The 24,729-nt window shown below is 35.5% G+C and overlaps 1 long non-coding RNA gene across 1 annotated transcript in view, besides 2 other annotated features; it reads right to left on the minus strand.

Annotated features, from left to right (window-relative positions):
• The window catches only part of LOC105377509 (uncharacterized), a 227,163-nt gene that overhangs the window by 176,998 nt on the left and 25,436 nt on the right, over positions 1-24,729 (minus strand). Inside the window, exon 2 of the long non-coding RNA XR_007058347.1 lies at positions 7,279-7,348. This is a non-coding gene — a long non-coding RNA (uncharacterized LOC105377509). The remainder of the gene's footprint in view (positions 1-7,278; positions 7,349-24,729) is intronic.
• Positions 14,502-14,646: an enhancer, noted in NCBI's record as "145 bp enhancer 19 fragment used in the MPRA reporter construct; PK_construct_3208". NCBI's record gives its function as "activates an SV40 promoter by MPRA in HepG2 cells {active_cell/tissue: HepG2}" and the evidence as "EXISTENCE:reporter gene assay evidence [ECO:0000049][PMID:23512712]".
• Positions 14,566-14,583: a transcriptional cis regulatory region, noted in NCBI's record as "GATA motif; enhancer activity is reduced when this motif is scrambled; it is unclear which activator is functional in HepG2 cells". NCBI's record gives its function as "necessary for full MPRA enhancer 19 activity {active_cell/tissue: HepG2}" and the evidence as "EXISTENCE:site-directed mutagenesis evidence [ECO:0005528][PMID:23512712]".

Consider the following 24,729-nt stretch of genomic DNA (forward strand, 5'->3'; position numbering starts at 1 on the left):
TTTTCATTGGCTCTCTCAGCACTTCTCATCCTCCCACCTGTAAATGGGAACTTTTGGAGTTTCAGTCCTGCTCACTTACACCATGGAAAGCTGGGAATGGGCTGCCTCTGGTTCATCTGTTTAGACCATAAAATCAAATATCATCACTTCCCTTTAGAGAATATATAATATAACGTTTAACTACAGAAAAGAAGTAAATTACCAAATAGCAACTCTTGCATTTTAGCTTTGCAGATTTTTGTTCACAGGTGTGTGTAGCAATGACATTTGCTATTATAAGCAGATTTAATAGAAAGGAAAAAGAACAGAATGCAAATCAGGGGCCTAAATACTTTAAGTTTATAATCCAAACCCACTTTGGGACACTGCTGTTTGGAACCATTAACCAATTAGAATGTAAATGTCTTTGAATATGAGTTCAGAATTGTTTGGAAATACATTAATTCTTATCTTTCAGTTATTAATATTGGTATGAGTAGGGAAAACAGAGAATTATGTTCTTACCCAATCAAACCTGGCCAGATTTGATACCTTCACATAGACAAATATGAACTATGACAACCACAAAGCTGAATAAAATTAAATTGAGTTAGTGGAGGAGAAAGCTCTTCATAAATCCAATAAATAAATGAATGCAAGGAATAGTGACTGTGCCAATATTGAATATGTGTCAGGATAGATTTTTTTTAAGCAAAAGAGACATAAATTTGTTGAAAATGTCTCTCAAGTTTTTTTATCTTAACTGGTGTCAGTTTGTCATTAAGACAAATAGTTTTCAGACTAATTATACTCTTACCCCTAGGAAGGGATTTTGAGAACAAATTTTCTGCTGGGTCAAAAAATCAAAACTTAGAGACTAAGTGAAAATAACAGCTGTACAGCACACCAACATGGCACATGTATACATATGTAACAAACCTGCACATTGTGCACATATACCCTAAAACTTAAAGTATAATTTTAAAAAAAAGAAAATAACAGCTGTCTAACCTGTAAATGTGAACATTTTACTTAACCTACTTCTCTGGCCTTCCAATAGAGACAGACTTTCCTATCAAGCAAAAATAGATCAATAAACCACACACACATACACACACACAATCAAATGCACTGACAAAAAAGCCACCCAGAAAGAATCACCAGTGCTATGCCAGAGATTTAAAATGGGTGAGGTCTAGACCACAAATGGATAGTTACTTGAAGTTGGGTGAATGTGAAGGCATCTCTGAGGAGATGACATTTAGGTTGACAGCTGAATGTCAAGATGGATCCAGCCATGCTAAGGCTAGAAGGAAGACCAGCCCAGGTAAAGGGAATGGGAATGGGTGTGCAAAGGCTCAGTGGCAGAGATAATCCTGGCAAGTTCGAGTGGGAAAAAGTAGGCCAGTGTGGTCATAGAGTAAGATGAGCCAAGGCTTTGTGGTGAGGGCCAGGAAACTGCATTTTATTCTAAGTGCAATAGGAAGCCTTCGGAGGGTTTTTAAAGATGAATAAAATCATCTAACTTACACTGTTAGGAGAATCACTTTGCTAAATGGAGAATGAATTGGAAGTGGGTGACAGTAGAAATAGAAGTATCATTATAATTCTACGGGTAGGAAATTATTGTGATTTAAAACAGAGTGTAGTAGTGAAGAAGAAAAGAAGGCGATTTCTTTGAGACTTGTGCAGAGTTAAAACTGGCGAATTGCATGCATGGGAGGGAAGAAAGAAGAACAAAGACTAAAGTCCATGATTTTAGAGTTAGGAAGCTGCTGGTTGGTGATGCCTTTATCAGGGATGGACAGAATAATGGAGGAGCCCAATCTGGGTGGAGAATGAGAGGCCAAGCACTCAGCTTCAACCCCGTGATTGTCTAGACCCACTGTGTGATTAACTCAAGCTACTCTTAGATGTCAATGACATCTCTGAACATCTATAAACCCATGGTACCTTACAAATATGGCTCTAGAGTCTAGTGCATCATCATTTTGATGATTCAGCTACTCTGAATCTTCTGTTGTTTCAGTCCTTCCATTGAGCTGCCAACACCTCCCTTTACTCACTTTACATTTCATGATACCAGTTGCTCAGGGCTTATTTTGTCCCAGGGCTTCTACTCCACACTTCTTTCTGTCTCATTTATTTTTCTTCTTCTCTACATCTTGTTTGCTGACCAACTCTGAATATTCTTATTTTAATTTTTTGAAGGTAAGTTTGATTGGTTATAGTCAGCATGTATTATCTTTCCTTCTGTATGAGATGACAGTAAGCCAGCCGGACAAGATGCAGCACACACATCATAACTACTACAAGTCTCCCAAGAGAAGTCAAGGTCAGCTTTAAACCTTGCAGACCCACAGTATATAATGCCAGCTCATGATGGTGTTAACTAAGTAAGAACTGTCCTACTCCTTCCTCAATCTTCTATACTACCCACACTGTGTCAAACACTAGAGGGGTTCAGAATGGCAACTGTTGCAGGGAAGGGATTGAAAATAGAAAAGGAAAATACCCCAATTAATATGCCTCTTTCTTATTAAGGCAACCAACTTGTAAATGGTCAGCACTGGTAAAGCAGAGTTGTTTTATCTTTGAATAATATTTATAAAGTTTTGATTATTACACTGGACATATTAATTGCTCCTTACAATATTTTTATTAATGAACATGACTGGAAAAAAATGTGGTGACTTGTCCTAAGTTTCATCCGGTGGGAAGTAAGACTGGCCGCATAGAATAATTTAAAGGAGGACAAAAATAAAGTTGTTTTATAATAACATCCCATGAGTCATGTTTGTTCAATACAACACATATATCTGCCTTAACTCTGATAATATTCAGCCTTGATATAGTATGTTCCTCTGTCTCTTCCACTGTATTTTAAACTCCTTGAGAGTATGAAGCCACCTTGCTTTCTATTTTACTGAGAAAATAGAAGCAGTCGCAAGAGAACTTCCAAAAGCTCCCACCTCCGCAGTTTTCCACTTAATTTCAGCTGGGCTTATTATCTAACCCTCCATCTCTCCTAATTTGAGTGAAGAATGCCAAATCCTACACTTGTGCGTGAGATTCCAGCACTGCTAACTGGCTCGAAGCTGTGACTTCAGCAATTCTCTATCCTGTTGCATCATTTTCCTTTCCGCTGAATCATTTCCATGCACATAAAATACATGCTTTTACTTCTCCCCTCTTAATTCTTCCCTTCTTATCCTCTCTTGAGGCAACGTCAGTCAAACTCTTACCCACTCCTCTCCATGAAATTTCTAATGAAAATATTACCAATGAGCTCTCCATTGTTAAATCCAAAGGACAAGGCTCTATATGCATATTAGACCATCTATCGAAAGCATTTAACATAGTTGATGTCAAATCCACTGCCTGGAAACTCCTTCTTCCAGGATGCCACACTCTCCTGGTTTTCCTTTCCCCATTCTGGTCTCCCCCTTAGCCTCCTTTGCTATTTTCTCTTTCTACCCAAACTCTTAAACATTGGAAAGCCTCAAACCTAAGACCGTTTCTCTGCCCTAAATATTACTCTTTCCTTTGATGATATCATCCTATCTTTGATAGTAAATATTACATAAATATACAATTCCCAAGTATTATATTTTTACTTGACTCTAGCTCAGACTGGACTTCTCAACTCTAGGTTCAAATGTTCAGTTGCTTACCCTGCATTCCACTTGGAAGTCTAATCACAAACACAAACTCTTCAAAACCAAAATCCTAACTTTTCTCCTTGATGCATTTATTTCCTTCCTCACTGCTGTCAGTGGCAACCCCATATTTCCAGTTTATCAGGCCCTAAAGCCTAGAGTTGTTCTTAATTTCTCTCTTTCACACCCACATCTATTTCATGTGCAAATCTTATAAGGTAGACCTTCATCTATTATAAAACCCAACCATATCTTACCTAACCCCTGTCACCTTGGTCCAATCCAACATCCACTCTTAACCGAGTTATTAATAACAGCATAAAGGATCACCTCCTGCTTTTACACTTTCTTCTTCTAGGTCTATTTAAAATTTTTAAGTGAATCATGGCTGGGTGTGGTGACTCACGCTTTTAATCCCAACACGTTGGGAGGTGAAACAAATGGAAGCCAAGCTCCAAGCCAGTTTGAGACCAGCCTGGGCAAGATAATGGGACCTCTTCCCTACAAAAAATAAAAAACTTAGCCAGGAATTGTGGTGCACACCTGGAGTCCCAGCTACTCAGGAGGCTGAGGCAGGAGGATAGCTTGAGCCCAGGAGTTTGAGGCTGCAATGAACCATGATTATGCAACTGCACTCCAGCTGCATGACAGAGTGAGGCATGTCTAAAATATAAATAAATAAACCAGAAGAAACTCCTGTCTTATTTTTCTTGTTTAAAATGAGTCATATTATGTCATTTCACTGCTTAAAACCTCTGATGACTTTTCCTATCATCCAAAATGACAGTCGAGGTCTTTAGAATGGTCTATAGGACCTGCATTATCTACTCTCCCCTTTTCTCCTCAAAATCATTCCTGTTACTTTCCTTCTCTCTAACTCTGCTCTAGCCACATAGACCATGTTGCAGTTCCATGTATCTGGGCCATGCTCTGGCCTCAGGGTCTTGGCACTTGGCTACTCTGGCTGAAATGGCTTTCCTTCAGATATCCTCATGGCTGGCCCCTTCACCTTGTTTGGTTTTGGTTCTACACCAGCTTCTCAGAGAATTCATCCTTAACCATGTAAGGTGGAATTACAGCTCCCACTCTGGACTCATATGTACCTGCCTCCTTTACTTTTCCCCATAGCACTCATTTCCATCTAGCATGATGTACGTAATTTTCTTGCTTATCTTTCTCTCCACTATGATGTAAGCTCTGACCACCTCAGTACCCAGTGGAGGGTCAAGTACATGGTGAGTGCTCAAAATATGTTCGAAGAGGAAATCTATGCACTCCCGTACCCCACACACATACAGTTACACCAACAGATATTTCAGAGTGTTTTACATTTAATAGATGCTTAACAAATGGTAGTTGGCTTGTAAATAATTCCATCTAGAGACTATATTATACATAGTGTATTTACCGCATTGCATGCAAACTGACTGTGAGATGAACAATGTAGCAGATCAGAATCCAGGAATAGCTACAAATTTTTTGTTTGTTTGAGATGGAGTTTGGCTTTGTCACCCATGCTGGAGTACAGTGGCCCGATCTCAGCTCACTGCAGCCTCCACCTCCTGGGTTCAAGCTATTCTCCTACCTAAGCCTCCTGAGTAACTGGGATTGCAGTTTCATGCCACCACACCCAGCTAATTTTTGTATTTTTAGTAGAAATGGGGTTTCACCATGTTGGCCAGGTTGGTCTCGAACTGACCTCAAGTGATCTGCCTGCCTCGGCCTCCCAAAGTGCTGGGATTACAGGCGTGAGTCACCACACCAGGCTGGCTACAGTTTTTATTCCTTAGGTTTACACATATTAAAAAATACTGAAAATTGCATGGGTTGTATATATCTTTCAAAAATAATAAGTTATGTAACATAAATAATAAATTACATAAAACTGTGAAATGTACTTGTGTTTATCTTGATTTCATATATTTTGGTAAACTTTTTGTTTAATTTCATTAAGAAATAGTTTAATCATCATTGCACACCATTTCAGAGTAAAATTAGGAAAACGTCTACTACAAATGGGTTTTCTGAGGGCTTGCCAAGGATTTGCAGGCAGTGGGTAACCATTCTTTCTTACCATATTTTCAAAGGAGTTTTTACTATTGCATAAATCTATAGCAGTCAATTAAATTAAAATATGGAGAAGGGTTGAATGCCTAATTACATGTTAAAATTGAAGTCTGGAAAGAGATTACATAAAGTAGTAAATAAAAGCATCACATCTGTTCAAAATAATGTTTCTAGTTTTTCCCCAGAATCACTGCGCACTTTTACTCTAAAGAAGCATAGGTTTGGCCGGGTGCGGTGGTTTATGCCTGTAATCCCAGCACTTTGGGAGGCCGAGACGGGCGGATCACGAGGTCAGGAGTTTGAGACCAGCCTGGCCCACATAGTGAAAGTCTGTCTTTACTAAAAATACAAAAAATTAGCTGGGCGTGGTGGCAGGCACCTGTAATTCCAGCTACTTGGGAAGCTAAGGCAGGAGAATCGCTTGAACCCAGGAGGCAGAGGTTGCAGTGAGCCGAGATCGCGCCACTGCACTTCAGCCTGGGCAACAGTGCAAGACTCCGTCTCAAAAAAAAAAAAAAGAAGAAGCATAGGTCTCTCTACGGCCTATCTTTCCTAGAACTTCCTTCTTTAGGTTCTGCTCTCTGTTGATATATTAGTCTGTATAAACATGTACATTGATACGTTAAATTACTTCCTATGTTGCTTTTTAAAATATTAGCAGGTGCCTCCTGAGGACTCAAAGATTTAATACACAAGATTGAAAATTAAGAGTATTTTAGGCATATTGTCAGGGAGATTATTGGAAATTCGGTGGGCAAGATAATCTTTCACCCCTCCTCTAATCACTACCCCATATTATACTCTTTTTAATAAAACATGAAAGTGTCTTCATGTTTAGCTGCAGGAGACAAATAACTTTCAGGAGTCCACCAGAGGGTGTTCATTCATTTGTTCATTTCAACTAATACTTAAAAGTTCTGTGGTTAAAGTGCTTTAGAGACCACAAAGTATTTTCATATTCTTCTTACTTAACCCTCACAACCCTCAAATTTGCAAGGATAAACATCTTGCATTAACAAATGGGAAAACTGAGACTCTCCTAAAAGTTTAAGGGATTGAGCAAAATCACACAGTTAGTTGACAGAATCATTGATACCCAAACCTATATATTCTAATGCTAAAAGTATTAGTTTCCCACAATACTTTAACTCAGCATTTCTAATATGCTAAATGTAATCGAGTCTTAAAGATGCGTAGCCATGGTTCCTACACTCCAACTACTTACAGGAGGGTGAAAATCTGTAACACATAAAAGAGCCTAACTTTTAAGAATTACAGTCAACATGATGTTGAATAACATAAAAATGTAAAGATCTTTATAATTAGCATAAATTAAGCGAACTATTGTGATTAGACATATGGAAGAACTTTACCATGTAAATGTAACTTAAAAGTCAAAAATTAGTAGAGTGACTTTCTTAAGCATATGAAATCTGCCCTTGAAAACCATAAAGAGAAAAATCTAGAACTCATCCTGGGATGAGAGTGACATGCACTTCATGGAGTCAAAAAACCTTCTAGGAAGTTTAGAGAAATCTAGTGTTTCACAATTCCAGGTGTCTTATTAACTTACCATAATTCCCTTCGGCAAATCACTTGGCAGTCAGGGTCACTGGCTCTTGAAGCTTGCAGACCAACACTGCCTGAGAAAAAGGGGTGGGAAGAAGACAACATTAAGCAACTCATCCTTGCTATTAGCCCTGCTCTGGTCCCTTGTCTATTGGCCAGTAAGAAAACAATTTCCCTATTCTTCATCCTTTTTGGATACCTATGATAGAATTGAGTCTATACTTTCATTTCCTGTAAGGCTTGAGATGAGCCTGGCTTATATCTGTCCTTTCAGAAACTGGAGTCCTCTTTCTGAACTCCAGGTAGACACTGAGATCCCATTCTCAGCTTTCACTGTTTCTGAAAACTGCTGCTTATGTGCCTTTTTCTTTACCTGAGGAATGCCTAAAGAAGTTTTAGCACAGATCCTGGCACATAGTAGGTATTCAATATTGATTGAAAATTGGTATACAACAAGAAAATATAACAAGGTCTTGGCCTCCAATGCAACTTAGAGTCTAGAAGAGAAAGATAAAAATATAAATACTAAGTGTTACAGATGCTATAATGAAAGAAATAGACTGCAAACCTGTCATTAATAATTTTTTTCTATGAGAGGGATCAAAAAGACTTCTTGGGGGAGTTGAGAAGAATGAGTAAGATTAAATGAAAAGAATAGGTTTTGCCAAGAATAGTGGGAAGACAGGCAGATATTTTCCAAAGACAGTGAGTAAAGTCATTTGTATAAGGAGAATGTACACATTGAAGCATGGTAAAAGATAAGCCTGGAAATCTGAGTAGACCATGAATAGGTCAGAAATTTACTTTTTTAGGCATTAAAAGTATCTGGAGTGTTTTGAGCAGGTAAGTGATCTAATTAGAGTACTATCTTAGAGTTGTTCCCAGGGTGGCAGTTAACAGGACATTTTTTCAATGAAAAAAAATTGAAAGGAGGAAATTAGTTAGGAAACAATTTATTTACCCCAGCAATAAGTGATTAAAGTATGATATAAGTTAATAGCCATAGAATTTAAAAAAAGGAACTAAATTTTGGCAAATTATGTGGGATTAACTTTCACTTCTTACAATACCATAAAATTTCAGTAAAAGAATTTTAAAAATGCATAAAATTACATAAGAAAAACAAGAAGTGGGAACAAAAAAAACTGAGATGCAAAAAAAAACAGGAAGATATCCAGCAGAAAATTAAGGCCAGAGGAAGAAGAAAGATAGTGTCTGCAAGGTGCAAGAGTGGAGAGTCAAGACACTAGTCACTTCATGCCCTGGAATCCAGGGAGGCCTACAAGTTAGAGGCATCATGTTCCTCTGACGGCTGAGGTGTAGTTAGGCAGACAACGTGAAGATTGGTTGCAACTCTCCAAAAGCATTTAGACCTTTGCATATCCTAAAATTCTCTATGAGAAGAGATCAGGTCTAAAATTTTCCCCACTTAACAGAAGAACGAGGTTCAGGTTTTACTCTCTGGAGACTCTTTGAACCCAGAGACACCAAACACAGTCAAGACTCTGCATGAAGGTCTACACATTGAACAGTGAGACCCATATTATACTCTTCCACTTTTCCATCACATAAGCAACCAGCTTCCCTCACAGGAAGAAGGCTGGAGGGTTCATCTCTTTGGAACCACTGGCTTAAGGAAAAACTCTTGACATTTGGGGAAAGAGTATCCTTGAGAAAACAACTGTGTTTCTATCTAATTATCCTACAGAAAAGCACACTGCTCAACAAGCCCTGAAATTAACACAAAGCTTCTAATATATTTATAGGGTTTTACTCTTAAATGGCAAATAACAGCCAAGGATGAGGAAAGTCATATCACTAACTCAAACACAGAAGCCCAACAAAGAGAACGAGCAACGCAGAAGACCTGAGGCAAGGCAGGAACTAGGAGAAAGAATGCAAAGAAACTCTATAATCAATCGCCTTAAAGAGATACAAGTCGCCTTAAAGAGATAAAAATTTACGGATAATATATCCATAAATTAGAATATTTAGACTATTATTTTAAAATGACGGAGGAGCATTCAAACAATAAAAGCTCCTAGAAAATAAAATATGATTAAAATAAAGATGACAGACTCTTCCAGAAAGCATAGCAAAAATACAAAATGAAAAATAGGTAAGACTAGATAAAATTTTAGAGGTTTGTTACTAAAGTTCAAACAGTCAAATAAGAGCCTCAGAAAAAGACAAAGAAGAAAATGAAAGGAAATAAACTATACAGAAAGAAACAAAAAAACATCTAGGATCGAAATGTCTGGATTTACACATGGAAAGGGCGGATTAGTATCTACCACAATGAATGAAAAGATAATTCATAGCAAAGCACAGTACTGTAAAATTTCAGGGAATTGAGATACAGAGAAAAACAGGCAATTGGAAGCAGAAAGAAAATTGAATTTCATGCCTTCAACATTTTGTGAATAATAATTTTCAACATAGAATTCTGAACCCAGACAAACTACCAATCAAATGAGAAGGTAGAAACAAACATTTTTAATTTTTCACATACACAAGTTCTAAACAAAATTACCTCTCATATACTTCTGCTCAAGAAATTACAAGAAGATAATCCTTATTAAGAATCAAAGAATAGGCCAGGCATGATGGCTCATGCCTGTAATCCCAGCACTTTGGGAGGCCGAGGCGGGTGGATCACGAGGTCAGGAGTTCGTGACCCGCCTGACCAACATGGTGAAACCCCATCTCTACTAAAAACACAAAAATTACCCAGGCGTGGTGGCATGTGCCTGTAATCCCAGCTACTCAGTAGGCTGAGGCAGGAGAATCACTTGAACCCAGGAGGCAGAGGTTGCTGTGAGCCAAGATTGTGCCACTGCACTCCAGCCTGGGCGACAGAGTGAGACTCTCTGTCTCAAAAAAAAGAAAGAAAGAAAAAAAGAAAGAAAGAAAAAGAAAGAAAGGTTTTGAACTCAGTAATCTCTACCTTTCTTCCATCTTGTTTGAGACAAATTTACGCTTGTGTTGGTATTAACCGTGGAACAACCAAGTGACTTATATGCAGGAGACTGCTGGAAATGTCGAACCCAAGTTGAGACAAGCAGTCAGTGCTGGAGAGGCTGACTGTAGAGGTATCTACAAGGAGATATGCACACAGCTGGAGAGAGTAAGATCTCCAAAGCACAACACATAGAGACAGAAATGGAAAGTTAGGACTAAACTTCAGGCAATGCCCACCTTAGGGGAAAACTAGAATAGTGAATGTGTGAGTTTAAAAATACCTGTATAACAGGACAGATAGCTATTCATACATTTGGCTTTGGAAGAGTATGAAGGGTTTGATTGTCTTATGAATTCAAAAATCACCTTTGAATTTAAACAATTAGGAAATTTTGATAGTAAAGCAAATTAAAATAAAATATTTGGAATTCTAAGGAGTTATACAAAAGATAAGCTTTTATCCCCCTTTCCCTAAAATAACTATAGTTATCATGTTACAGATGTTACCATTTAGGGCATCTATGTGAATAAAGATGGGATTTTTATTTTTCACCTTTAGAAAAGTGGCAGTGATTGAAATCTCGCCTGAAACCATGAATTTTTCATAATAGCCAGGTGGCTATTCAGCCAAGCACTCTAACTCTATAAGCCCCAGCTGCGATCCAAGCAAGGTTAAATGAAAATAATACTTGACAATATTTCACCAAGCCGTATCATTCATGCACATGCCACATCCTTTAATTTATTTTTCATGCATAATTATTCATCCATACAGAAAAAACAAATCAGTAAACACACGAAATACAAATCCAGTTTTCATTTACAAGTAGTAAAACCCCTTCTGAATTTTGTTGTTCTTCGCTTTTGCATACTAACCACTATTTTATAGTAATAAATTCTGTATTCCAAATGGTTAAAAGCATTATAATTTACAGGATAAATCCTGTATTCTATATGGTTGAAAGTTGAAAACATACAGGTTATTATATAACTTGTATATTTTCTATTTTTAATGGCAACAAGAGGACATACAATTTTACACAAACACCTGTAAGTGTATGTATACATGCACACACTTTTTAAAGCATTTCTCAACTTTAGGCCATATGATGCATTCCTAATTTTGTATTATCATTTATATCAAACTTATTAACAACTTAGTAAAAATAGTTGCATTTATTTTAATTTATATTTTTTCATTACTTTCTTGGGTAGTTATTATACCCAACATGGCATTAGTTGGCTTAAAGATGTGAAATTTACATGATTTCATCAAGTATTGTGTTTTCCCCATCCAAAATATTCTGTCAAATCACACTTTCAGCACTACTATTTTAATAACTTGGAATAGTGTTTCTCTCTTCAACTATTTCATCCATCATGGTGAGTAATCCAACCAACTTATTTCTTGAGACCAGTGGGTTAACCTTGAGGCAAGGTTAGTATTTTTACCTAAACATTAGAAATCTTTAAATATTTGTTTCTCATAAATATTTAATTCAGCACAATAATTACAATATTAATTAGACGTAGACTACGTAGATTTCAACAGGAGAAATGTAGTAATGTGAGTCACTAGGGGGCAGCAAAGATCAGAGAAAAGGCATGAATTCAAATGCTGATTCTTAATCCAAGTTAATAAAAACATTGAGCGTTCTAGAGATACCAAAGGGCCAGCGCTTTCCCTAAATGTTTCTCTGAATCTTATAGTCTTATCTATACATCATCTTGGAACAAAAACCTGCACTATTCTGCCACCTTTTAGAAAATTGACTGCCACTTCAATTTTTATCAGCAAACAATGAACATTTTAAGGCTTTCTCAAAAATGAAAACTGCGTAACTTCCTGACAATTACGGTAGTTCCAATTTTTTAAGAAAGTTATGAAATAGGTCATTTAGACTTTCTGTGGGATTTCTGCTTCTCCAAAAAGACCAGATGTTTCCTCATGATTTTTGTTTCCCCATCTTGAGCAGTACAAATGAAACAGATTTATAACTTTTTAAATACAGTGTTATTTTCTGAGTCTTTAGGAAACACACAAGTGTTTATAAAGGCAAAAATATTGCATCAATTATACTTTCAATGGCCATTACTACTAATAGAAATTACTTTAAAATATTTTAAAAACCGGTTAATAGGAAAACTCAATCATCTACCTTTTCCTTTTTGAATTCTCAACTTATTATATATACATGTTTACAAGTTTATTAAATGAACATCCATTATTTTAATATCAGAAGGGAGTCTAAACTTATTTTTAAAAGTTACTTATGAGCAATATATCCTACTTTTGCTGGGCCTTTTAAAATTCATAATAAAATGCATTGAAAGTCCTGATTCTGTTAGCATTCGTTCTGGTGGGTTTCCGGATCTAAGGAAACATCAAATTTTACAGGGGTTATTTGGAAATAAAACCCACAGAGCAACACAATACTAGAGTTGTGAACTAACAAAATAAAAGAGTTTGTTTATCATGTCACTGTTCTAATATTGACCTTGACCATGTGATGTTGACTTTATTTATTGCCTATTGAACATTCTTGCAAGATTATAGTTTGTTTCCTTGGAGCTTAGAAATTAAAGGAGAAACAAAGGGTACTTATTAAACAAGAAGATGTGCTTGAAGCTGAGAAGTAGCTGGTCCATTTGGGAATTGATAAAAACATAAAAATGTTAAAGTAAAGACCCCTCCATATCATTACAAGTTTCCCATTTATCTGTAGAAGGAAAAAGATATTGGTTTGAAGTTTTAAGAAGACATAAAATAAAACAGATAAAAAGAAGGTAAAATGCCTGAAAACCCCTCTTTATTATGACTACAAAGCTTTACATTTTAACCTAAATGCTAACGACTTAACCTATAACCAAATAGTTGAATGTTTCTACCAGTGTTCAAATACTTTGAAGTACCTCAAGGTCAATGTATTTAAAGCTAACTCATGGCCTTCTCATCTAAAGCTGCTCATCCTCTTATTTTCTCAGCAAAATGTGGGGATTCCACATCTCATCACTTCACCCAAGTGAAGTAACCAAAAAGCGTCCTTGACTGTATCCTCTCCTGCATGTCCTCAAATCAACTAATTTACCTTATATTTATTTTATAGATATTTCTCAGATCCTTTGTCACTTTACAGACCTATAGTAACTTAACTGAACTCTACCCTGAATCTCTCAAAAGCATTACCTATACTATCAGAACGCTTTCACAGATGCCATTATCTCACTCCATTGTCCAAATACCTGCAATAAGTCTCCATTCATCTATACAATAGAGTCCAAATGTCCTAATATGGCATAAAAATAGCCATTACTATTGCATTTAAAGCAAATTCTTGACAAATATTTGTTGACTCCAAAAGAATCCAATATTCAATATTTCTACATTTAGACAGGGTGTTGGCACAAAACCAGAATATTTTTGGGGTGATATCAAAATATTTAAAGTGAGAAAATTAAATACATGTGTATGTATATATGTAATAGATATTAAAAATACCTTAAACTGCCAGGCATGGTGGCCACGTCTGTAGTCCCAGAACTTTGGGAGGCCTAGACAAGGATCACTTGAGGTCAGGAGTTCGAAACCAGCCTAACCAACATGGTAAAATCCCGTCTCTACTAAAAATAGAAAAATTAGCCAGGCATGGTGGCTTGCACCTGTAGTCCCAGCTACTTGGGAGGCTGAGGCAAGAGGATTGCTTGAACCCAGGAGGTGGAGGTTGCAGTGAGCCAAGATTTAGCTTCTGCACTTCAGCCTGGGTGACAGAGGAAGACTCCACCTCAAAAAAATAAAAAATAAATGTAAATAAAAATACATTAAACTGACATATAAATCTGTTTTTTAATTTCATCATGGCTTTATGTATTTGTCATATATATGTATATATGTGTATGTCTTGTGTATATATCACATACATATATGTATATATGTGTGTCCTGTGTGTGTTCGTATATAAATATATATATTTGTATATATATATTTGTATATATATGTATATATATTTGTATATATATTTATATATATATATACACACACGTCAGTTTAATATATTCTTCAGCTTTAGAGGAAAATCTAGCAAAAACAAGCAAAGTAGGCAGTAGTTAGGACAGAGATTGATGAAACAAATATTGTTTACATTTTTGCCAGAAGCAATGTAGAGAACAATGAAAGTGTTTTGGAGATTTGTAGATTTAAACCCAACAGTATAGGCCAAAGACAGTATTTCAGTTTCTTAATTGCATTCCTTTTTTCTCACATTTCTCTTTCAAAAAACTGAAATCCTTGAGACTTTTGTAAACAAGGAACAGTCATGGCTGGGCATTTCCTCTGAAGAAAAGAGATAAAGCCAAACAAAGGCACTTTGATCTTCTGTTTGTGCTTGGTAAACTACCAGTCTTACGAAAGACCTTTCGTTTGTTCATTCGTCTCCCTCATGTGTCTGAATGCCCATAGAAAATGTTTACAGAGCAAAACAGCTCATTTCTTATTCCAGAAAAATCAAGCTGTTGCAACTGGTGGAGATTAATTAAAACGGCATGAGCGTGGCAAGCCAGGAAAGAGCAAAGCCAAATAAACGAATCTTTCATTACATCTTTAAAAATTATGAAGGAAAGAGATCATCTACTTATCTCTTGGTAGATCCTGAATATATATTCTGAATATATATTTTATATTTATATATGTATATATACATACCTTGCTTGGTTTTCAATTTGTATATGAGTAAATTCTTAATGATAGAGTGGCCTTCCTTTGGCCTAACCATAAAGCACTTTCCATTTCTGCTATTTGATTCATAAAACAAGAAAGAACAACCTTAGTTCTCTCTTTCCATTTGATAATTTGGTACCATATTTACCTATTATGCATCAAACAAATTTCTGATTTGGCTAAATTTTAATAATTCTAAAAGATAATAAAATGAATCCTTAAATATTAAAATACATCAATGTGAAAATCTCAACACTTGGTAAGAAATAGGATAAAAAATTATGATGAGGTACTGGGCTTCCATGGTTACATATAGTTAATAAAAGGAAATCAACACATGAAAAATTAACTAATGCTATAAAATACATTTGTGTTTTATACCTTTGTGGTACCTATGTCATAGTTATCACAAAGCAGAGACAAATTAGGTGATAGAAAGTCAGTTCATATTGAAAATTACTATTAAAATCTTGAGTTCATACTCAAACCATACATCACTTTTGTCTTTCTCCTGTGTTTCATTCATTCCATACAATGGTAAATGATTTTAGGACTTGATCATGTTTATTTGCATATAAAATAATATCATTTTGCCTTTCTACTATTGAACATGAGATGACTGCTCTCACTTTTCTTAGTGGGTGCTACCTAACTAGACACATTAAGAATTTTTAAATCTTTCTGTTTCCATAGTATATTATTTTTAAAATTTTTATCCCTAAATCTCAGTATCAAAGAATCTGGCTTCATATGAGATGATTTGGGCGGGGGGGAGTTCAGGAAACCAGGCCTTGCTCTGGAGTAGACGCCGACAGGAAGCAAGGGCAAGTCTATGATTGTTTATCTTAATAAATCTCATCTGGAAGGAGGGAAGACTGGAGTCAGAATAGAGTTGTCAGTGGGAAAGAGCGGCAGGCACTCGTGTTTGCCAGGTTAGGGGGCTGCTTGGTATTTTGTGGCTGGAGCAGTGTTTATGTTTTGTCTGTGTTCAGACCTGGTTATGAGTGGTCTTATTTTTGTCTTAATTTATCTTGTTCACAGAGTGACCTTGTCTGATGTTGATGTTCTGTGAAATTGTTTATGATCAAAAGAAATACACAAGGCCTAACTGCAAGTACCAGGCCAGCTCCTCATACCAGTCCAGCTGATAGGACCAGGCCAGTCCCACATGTCAAGGGCTGCTTTTCTCTTACCCAGTTTCCCCTCTGGGTCAAGGGCAAACATAGTTAAGGCCACAAGACATTAATCCATAATATTTATATTTTTACCATCAGTTAAGATTTTGCTGCTAAGAAGAGTTTTTTTAGAGAACATAGTCTGTAGTTGAATTAAAATTAGTCACATGGTCTTTCATTGCAGGATGAATTATTGAATGTGCTGGCATGATCATTGCTAAACAGAAACTCAGAATGGCCTACATCTGCCAAATGCAATGTAAGCAATTATCAGATGCAAAATGATTATTAGTCCTTGACACAAGTCTTGAAGCGAGGATTCTAGATCATAAAATCTAGGCAATAAATCCTTTTGTGTTTGTTTTAGAAGGTCAGGTCTCTATTTCATTTTATCTTCTTCATGTGTTTATGTATTTGTCTTGTAGTCCATAAGTGCAGCAAGAAGTATTTACTGTAATATAAATTTTCTCTTGGTTAATTATAAGGAAAGCAGGAGCATTGCAAATTTTTCCTAACCCTAGCTAATGAATTGAGACTAGTTTGTTGGGCATTCAGAGTATAAGTTATATTATTTATGGCTTTTGCTGGGGTCAAAGTAAAGCTTTGCACCATTTTGCCAGTTGTATTATTCCAAATGTGAAAATTATAGCTCAGATAATGAGGGAGTCAGTTATCCCTTCCAAAAGTTTCTTTAAAAACCATATATGTACCTCCTTTTGAAGGGTGATAAACAACTTTTCATCCAGGGCTATATGAACCGCTAGTGGGAGGTTAGTTTTAAATATCTGAAAGTCTCTCATGATTATCTCATGAAATAGAACATGTAAGTTAATATGTAGCAAGCTGAAAGGCATCACCTAGGGAGACTGTAGCTAGAGAAGACAAAAGGACCCAAAGGCATTTCAATATTTAAGTTAGATAAGGAGGAAGGGACAGCAAAGTAGGTAGAGGAAAAGTCCCTGGTGAATTAGGTAAAAAAACAAATAAATCAGGAGGATACAGTGCCCAAGAAACCACAGGAGGAAAGATTCTCAAGGAAGATAGATTGAGTGTAGGGTCAAATGCTGCTCCAAATCAAAATAAGGAAGAATACAGAAGAGGTCACTGGGTTCTGCAAAAGAAAAATCACTGGTCCCCTTAACAACAAACATTTCAGTGGACTTGGGGTGACAAGAGCTACTCTTGAGTGACTGCAACAATAAGCAGCTAAAAAATGTAATTTTTTAAAACTCTGGGTAGCATTAAATTACAAATAAATCTAATAAGAACTCCAGGAAGTCTAGACTCATAAAATAATAATAAAACTACCTAAGTTTTAAAAGAGTAAACAGTTTAAATTTTTTATTGTGCTTTGATGAAATGACTCATTATAAATATATCTATTACCCTAAGATAATTTATTCATTTAACTCAATACAAATGAATTTATTCCAGAGTTTTTCATAAAACTTTGTTGTTGTTGTTGTTGTTGTTGTTATTTTTATTTTAATTTCAGGGGATATACGTATGGGTTTGTTACATGGATATGTTACATGATACTGGAGGTTGGGCTCCTACTGAACCCGTTACCCAAACAGAGAACACAATACCCAATAGGTAATTTTCAATCCTTGCCACCTTCCCTCCCTCCCTCCTTTTGGAGTCCCCAGTGTCTATTATTTCCATCTTTGTGTCCGCATGTACCCGGTGTTTAGCTCCCACTTATAAGTGAAAACATGTGGTATTTGATTATCTGTTCCTGCTCAAATTCACTTAGGATAATGGCCTGTAGCTGCAGCCATGTTGCTGCAAAGGACATAATTTTATTTTTTTAATGGCTGCATAGTATTCTATTATGTATGTGTACCACAATTTCTTTATCCAGTCCACTGTTGATAGGCACCTAGGATGTTCCATGATTTTGCTATTGTGAGTAGTGCTGTGGTGAACATACGAGCGCTGGTGTCTTTTTGGTAAAACAATTTCTTTTCCTTCAGGTAGATACCCAGTAAGGGAATTGCTGAGTTGAATGGTGGTCTTATTTTTAGTTCTTTGATAAATCTCCAAACTGCTTTCCAAAGGGGCTGAACTAATTTATCTTTCCACCAACAGTGAATAAGCATTCACTTTTCTCCACATCCTAGTCAGTATCTGTTGATTTTTAACTTTTAATAATAACCATTCTGACTGGTGTGAGATGGTATATCATTGTGGTTTTGATTTGTATTTCTCTCATGATTAGGAATGTTATGAATTGATTCTAAAGTCTACAAAGAAAAAATAAACGTGTAATAATATCCAAGAAAATATGAAGCAGAAGAATAATAAGCAAAGGCTAGCTATACAAGAAAAAAAAATGTTCTAAAACAATAGGAAATACTAGCACTGGCCACAAATAGTCAATATAACCAAAAAGTCAGATATAGTCTTAAATATATATGGGTTGTTAGTTACTGGTGAAAGTGGCATTCTAAATCCATGGGTATTGAGAGGCAGACAGGGGGAGGTGTGTGGATCAAATAATTCTGGAATAATTGGGTAGCATCTAGGGAAAACGAATGAGCTAGATTCTCTCTCTTGCTTCTTAAATACATTTCAGAAGGACCAATGTTTTCAAAGTGTAAAAACCGAACTATAAAATTGAAAGGAAATGAAAGAAAAACATTGGCAAACCTTCTCATATACTTGATAGTGTAAGGTATTTATAAGCATGATGTAAAAACTTTCAAAACATGGTGCAAAACTATTTAAAAATGTATAAATTTGAGTCCATCAAAATTAAGTTTTAAACTTAATAAATTTAAGAAAAAGAAAAAAATTTACAAACTTACTAGCTTAAATATTTTAGTAATCCAGCTGCTGAAATGTTTATTTTCTTAACATATATATATACATTGCCCATACAAACTAATGAGAAAATTATAAACAAACCAATGTAAAAAAAATGGGCAAAGACATGAATTCAGAAATAAAAAGAAACGCAAAGCCTTTTAAAATTTGAAAATATGATCAGCCTCAGTCATAATAAAATGAATGTAAATTATAATTGCATTTGGATATCAAGTTTTCAAATACTGCATTTGGCAAAAAGCAAAATTCTCTTACTACACTGTATTAGTGAAGGTGTGGAGAATCAAGCACTCTTATACAGTACTGGTATAAATTTAAGTTAGTAAAACATCTGGAAGGCAATTTTCCAACATTTACCAAAATTATAAATAAACATATCCTTTGGATTCAATAATCCCACTTTTAAGAGTGTATCCCATAAATACATGGCATAAAAATATAATTACAAAGATTTTCCCAGCCGTATTTTCTGTGTTAGCAAGAGATTGCAAGCATTATAAATCTTCATTGTAGGGAACTGTGTAAATACATTTATGTGACAGCAAGCCCAGAAGTGGTTAAAAGGAATGAGACATACCTGTGTACACTTCATGAAAGATCTCCTTGATAAGTGGAAAAGCAAAGCATACTTTAATCTATGCAAAAAAAAATCACTTCAACTTGGAGAAATCTTAGTATTGGGGATTGATGATAGAAGGGTGCTAACATTCTGTACTGCTCAAATTTTTTAAGACAGTCATATATTGCCTTCTCAAAAAACTACATTAAAATTATTTAAGTAGGACAAAAAGTGAATGCAAAGGAATAAAATGAAGGCGACGAGTGAGGACAATTATATGTCCTGTTGCTGAGAAGGATGCAGAGAAATTAATGCGTGATCAAAATTTTGTTATTTTTGTTGGGACTGTCCGTTGCTCTTTATAGAGAAAAAGTTCGAAGACACCCTGAGAGTCTGACTACGCATCAGTCAGATTGAACCAATCTGAGAGAGAGAGATGTGATTCAAATGGAGGCAGGTAAAGAAGTCTTCAGAAGCCCCAAGGAATAAAATTCAGGTGAACAGAAAGGTTCACCTGTGATTAGCGCAGGGGCGCTTCCATTTTAACAAGCAGAATGAAGAAAGTTGTTAGATTTCTTTTGTGTGAAAGTGACCAATCTTCGGTGGAGGACTTGGCCTTGTTGGAGAACAGGCACGTCTTCCATGTTAACAAGTAGACTACAGCATTATGGATACAAACGTAGCTAAGTTTTTATAATTTTAGGTAAGTAGAGGATGTTCTGATATCCTGCATCTAATTAACCCATGAATTATAACACTAAATAATCTTCTGAGAGCAAGGCTTGCGAAAGATAGCGGAAGAACTTGGGGACAAGAACATGAAGGATAACACAGTCATCTCAGACAATCGGAAAATGAGTAGGAGTGTCAGACAGGGCGGAGGGTGTTTTGAAGCTTGTGGTTAACAAATTAAAGTGAAATCAGTTGGACTTTTCCCCGTTAAGCTATTGGGTTGCAAGCATGGTATAGGTGGGTAGCTGGGTTAATTGAGGCTCAGATATTGACAATTGTTACAAGGGGTTCAGATAACAAAGGAGATGAATCTGTTTGCAAGGGAGTGATTATGATGGTTCATCTTGGAATTTAGAGAAGGCTAAAAGGTAAATGAAGATAGGAGGTGGGAGGGGGTTGGTGAAAAGTAATGTGGTAGGAAAAATGTATTGAAGACCTGTGTTAATTCAAACCACGATCATCCTAGGGATTAGTAGAGAAACTGAGCCAAAAGGATAAAAAGTAGGGCTAAGAGGAATATGCGAAATAAAAAATTTGGTGAAAGACTACAAAGTAGAAACACAAAAGTGGGTGCATGGTGTGGAATAGGGGAAAAGACTGCAATCAAAAAAGAGCTTTTCCATCCTCATTTTCTGAGAGCTGTGACACATAGTCAAACGATTAATTTTATTAAATATATTTTAGCCTCTTTTAAAATAAGCTTTTTTAATTATTGGACATATAATTTGTGTTACATCATATATTTTCTAATATTTAACCGTTGTTTCACAGAATAAAACTACTTGAAAATAGTGATTATTTTCTCAATAATCAGTTTTATTTTGAATGTTTATGTTTACAATTATATAAGTGATGAGACTTTCAAAACTATACTGCCTTCAAAAACCTAATTAGATCACTTTCCATCCTTTTCGATACTCTTGGCCACACAATTTGGCATGGAAATGTTAAATCCATTCCTTGTAAATCTGTAATAAGTCATCTGTTTTTGTTTAGAGTTTTATGTGGAAATAATTTTTCAAAATGTATTTTTTACTTTCTATTCTTGATATATTTTAGAAGTTTATTATCTTCTACAAAACAATTATTTCATAGAAATGTTTAAATGTATTAGCATTGAGTATACAATAGTCTCATAATTTTAATATCCTACTTAAACATTGTTACATTCCTTTTCTCTCTTGAAAAATTTTTATCTCGTTATTATAGTTTCCACAAGTTTAGCTTTACTATTTTTCCCCAAAGAATCAACTCTCATGGTTTCCCTTGCAGTTCAACTGTTTTTTTGTTGTTCTCTAATTTCCTTACTTTAATTCCTTCCTTCCTGTTTCTTTTATTCCTCTCTTCTGTGTGTGTGTGTGTATGTGTGTGTGTGTCCTTTTAATTTTTTCTGGACCATTCTAAGTTGAAGGTTTAGTTTGCTTTTTTTGTGTTGTTGTTTAACCATGTAATCACATTCGAATTTAGCTTTGAACCACTTATATTAGTTTTAATATAGGGTTCTCATTTTTATTGTTCTAATAGTCTACAGTTATAAATTTTAATCACTTTTTTATCTCACATATCATTTAGATGACAATTTGGAATTTTTGTTTACTGCTTTTGCTTTACAAACTTGGTTCCCTCTTTGAATTTTGTCTTACATAACAGCAGAGTTTCATTTTTATGTGTGTGTTAAAACAATCTATCATTTGCAATGACATAGATGAACCTAGAGAACATTATGTGAACTGAAATAAGCCAGGCACAGAAAGGCAAATACTGCATTATCTCACTTTTGTGTGGAATCTAAATAAGGTGAACTCTTAGAAGCAGAAGTAGAATGGTGGTTACCAGGGGCTGTGTGGTGGTGAAGGGTCGGGGCAATGTAGGGGTTGAGATTGCAGAGATGTTGGTGAAAGGATACAAAATTTCAGATAGATAGAAGAAATAAGTTCAAGAGACTGTGACTATAGTTAGTGGCAATACACTGTATACTTGAATATTGCTAAGAGAGTATATTTCAAGTGTTCTTTCTCACCACATAAAAATGATAAGTAGCTGAGGTAATACATATGTTAATTAATTTAATTTACCCATTTCACAATGTGTATATATTTCAAAACATCATATTGTATATCATAAGTATATAAATTTTTATTTTGTCAATTAAAAAACACTGAGCTGAAAGTCTTACGGGAGGAGTCTGAGAGTGATTTCAAGTCCCTTGATATACTTGACACTGAAATATCTCACTCACTATCCGAGTTCATGGGCAGTCTCTAACTAGCAGTTTACCTTTTCTTCTAATTGTGCTTCACTATGGTTGATGTTTGTGTGTGTTGTTGGCTTTTTTTTTTTAACAAAAAGCTACTCAAAGAAATCAAAAGACTCTGGGAGTTAGTAACTTCTAATACCTTAGGCAGAAAGATCAAACGATAAATACTATTATCACTGAGGCAGGCATTATCTTCCCAAAGGGATTTAAAATCTATGTGGCAATGACAATAATTGTTATGCATATGTGCTGATGGTCTGAGAACAAAACAATACTACCAATATCTATATAATGCTTTGAGTTTTATAATTGATATTTGGCAAGTGCCAATTTTATGGCTGAAATTCCTAGGCCCATCATGACATGATTTGTTATTAAATGTCTGTAATTATAGAGTCTAATCATGAGAAAATAGCTCACTATACCCACAAGGAATAGCTGATAGAAAGACATTACACAACTTCATGCTAGCTTCCTGAGAAGCTGCAATACAAACCACAAAACCTGAATTTCCCTGGGGTTCTCTGTTTAGGTGTTGGCTCTGGTGAAATGAACACTCAAGAATTGATCTGAAAAGAACAATTCTAAAAAGTAGAAGTAATGGTAGAATAACAAATTTATATGTGATACATGTGTTTCTTATTAGGAAACATTTGAAAGTGTTATTGATAAATAACAAAATTGGAATGTTCCAAAATGTTAAAGCACCTAAAATAGTGTACTTATACAGGTATTCTATGATAAACTTGGATAAACTGTCAAACTCTTTTTTCTAAGAACAGATTACTTTTTACTCACTTTCTGTCTTTATAGTTGTTTTATTCTCAAATAAAATAACTCACTGTTATGTTTGGTTATTATTCCCAATTTATTCTTTCTTTTCAAAAAACCAACTTCTCATTTATTTTTTCAGAATCATGTGCTATCAAAAATGCATTAAAAATTGTCAAAGCTTTTAAATATGCAACTTTTCTTTGAAAGTATTAGTTTATATACTAGTCTAGTGAAGTCATAAAAAGACTTACCCCAGTATTTTAACTACATTTTTACTGCTGTTTCTCCCCCTCCTTTATCATCACTTCTTCCTTTGCACTAAGCATTGGTATATTCCAGAATTCTAGCCTGGTATCCTTCTCTTTTCATCTGTATTTTCCTGTCTAGGCAAATCCATAATTCTGATTCAATTATTTCTCACCTATCTAACACAGTATCTGACCATCTTTCACAAAATCGACACAACTCAAACAAGCACACTATCTGAAAAACAAGTCAACAAAGAAGATGTGAATCTTAAACACGAACAAAGAAAAACTTGATCCTGTTAACATCCCCCTGGCTCAAGCAAACCCTGGCCTTTTCAGTTGTGTTAGTCTATAAACCCCCTTTGTCATACTCTGGATTGTCTTTTCTCTCACGTGCCATCAGAACATACAAAAGCTAACACTAAGAATGGAACAATGCAAATGACAAACACTAAATTCATAATTGGAAGAATCAAGGAGGGAGGAGGACTCTAACACTTCGTGCTGGGTAACACTTGTAATTTGGTAACGGAGGTTACAAATAGGTAAATTTACACACGTATTAGCTTGGTGTTCAGAAGCTATCCTTACTGAGACAATAGAACTAATCGTCTTGAATTTAAAAAATGTAGAATTGTGGCATATGCTTGCTAGTTCTTATGGTTCACTGTAAGTCTTCTTTTTAAAAAGAAGCTGACATTGAAATCTGTTCCTCTAAGTAAAGACAGGAAGAAAAAAATATATGGCTTTACCAAGAAATACCTTTCTTGCCTGAGACTTTCCATTCGAGGTCACAGAAAAATTTGAAAGTTCAGACAGCTGGATTCTCTCCTCCAAACTAAAGTTATTGCCAGCAAAAGCAGGGAAGTAGGAGCAATCACAGGAGGTAATATTAAAACCAGAGAGAAGCCATCCTCCTCAGGATTCTTCGAAAAGCTCCTCTTTTAAACTACACTTAGAGGGATGGTCACCTCAGTATAAAGATCCCACATCAGCCCCAGTCCTTATGTTAAATGGCCCAAGGCAGGGGCAAGATGCAGATTCTCAGGGTAAGGAAGATAGGCAGAGCAATGTGTCAGGCGGGTATTAATTAAGAAAAACATGGGGCCTAGTTCTCATACAAAGACCAGCTTGAGGAGATTTCTGGCCTTTGGCACTGGCCCATGGAATTGTCTAGAGGACAGATTGAAAGTCCACTTAAGTTTT

This window comes from Homo sapiens, chromosome 4 (assembly GCF_000001405.40).
Source record: "Homo sapiens chromosome 4, GRCh38.p14 Primary Assembly".
NCBI classification, from domain to species: Eukaryota; Metazoa; Chordata; class Mammalia; order Primates; family Hominidae; genus Homo; species Homo sapiens.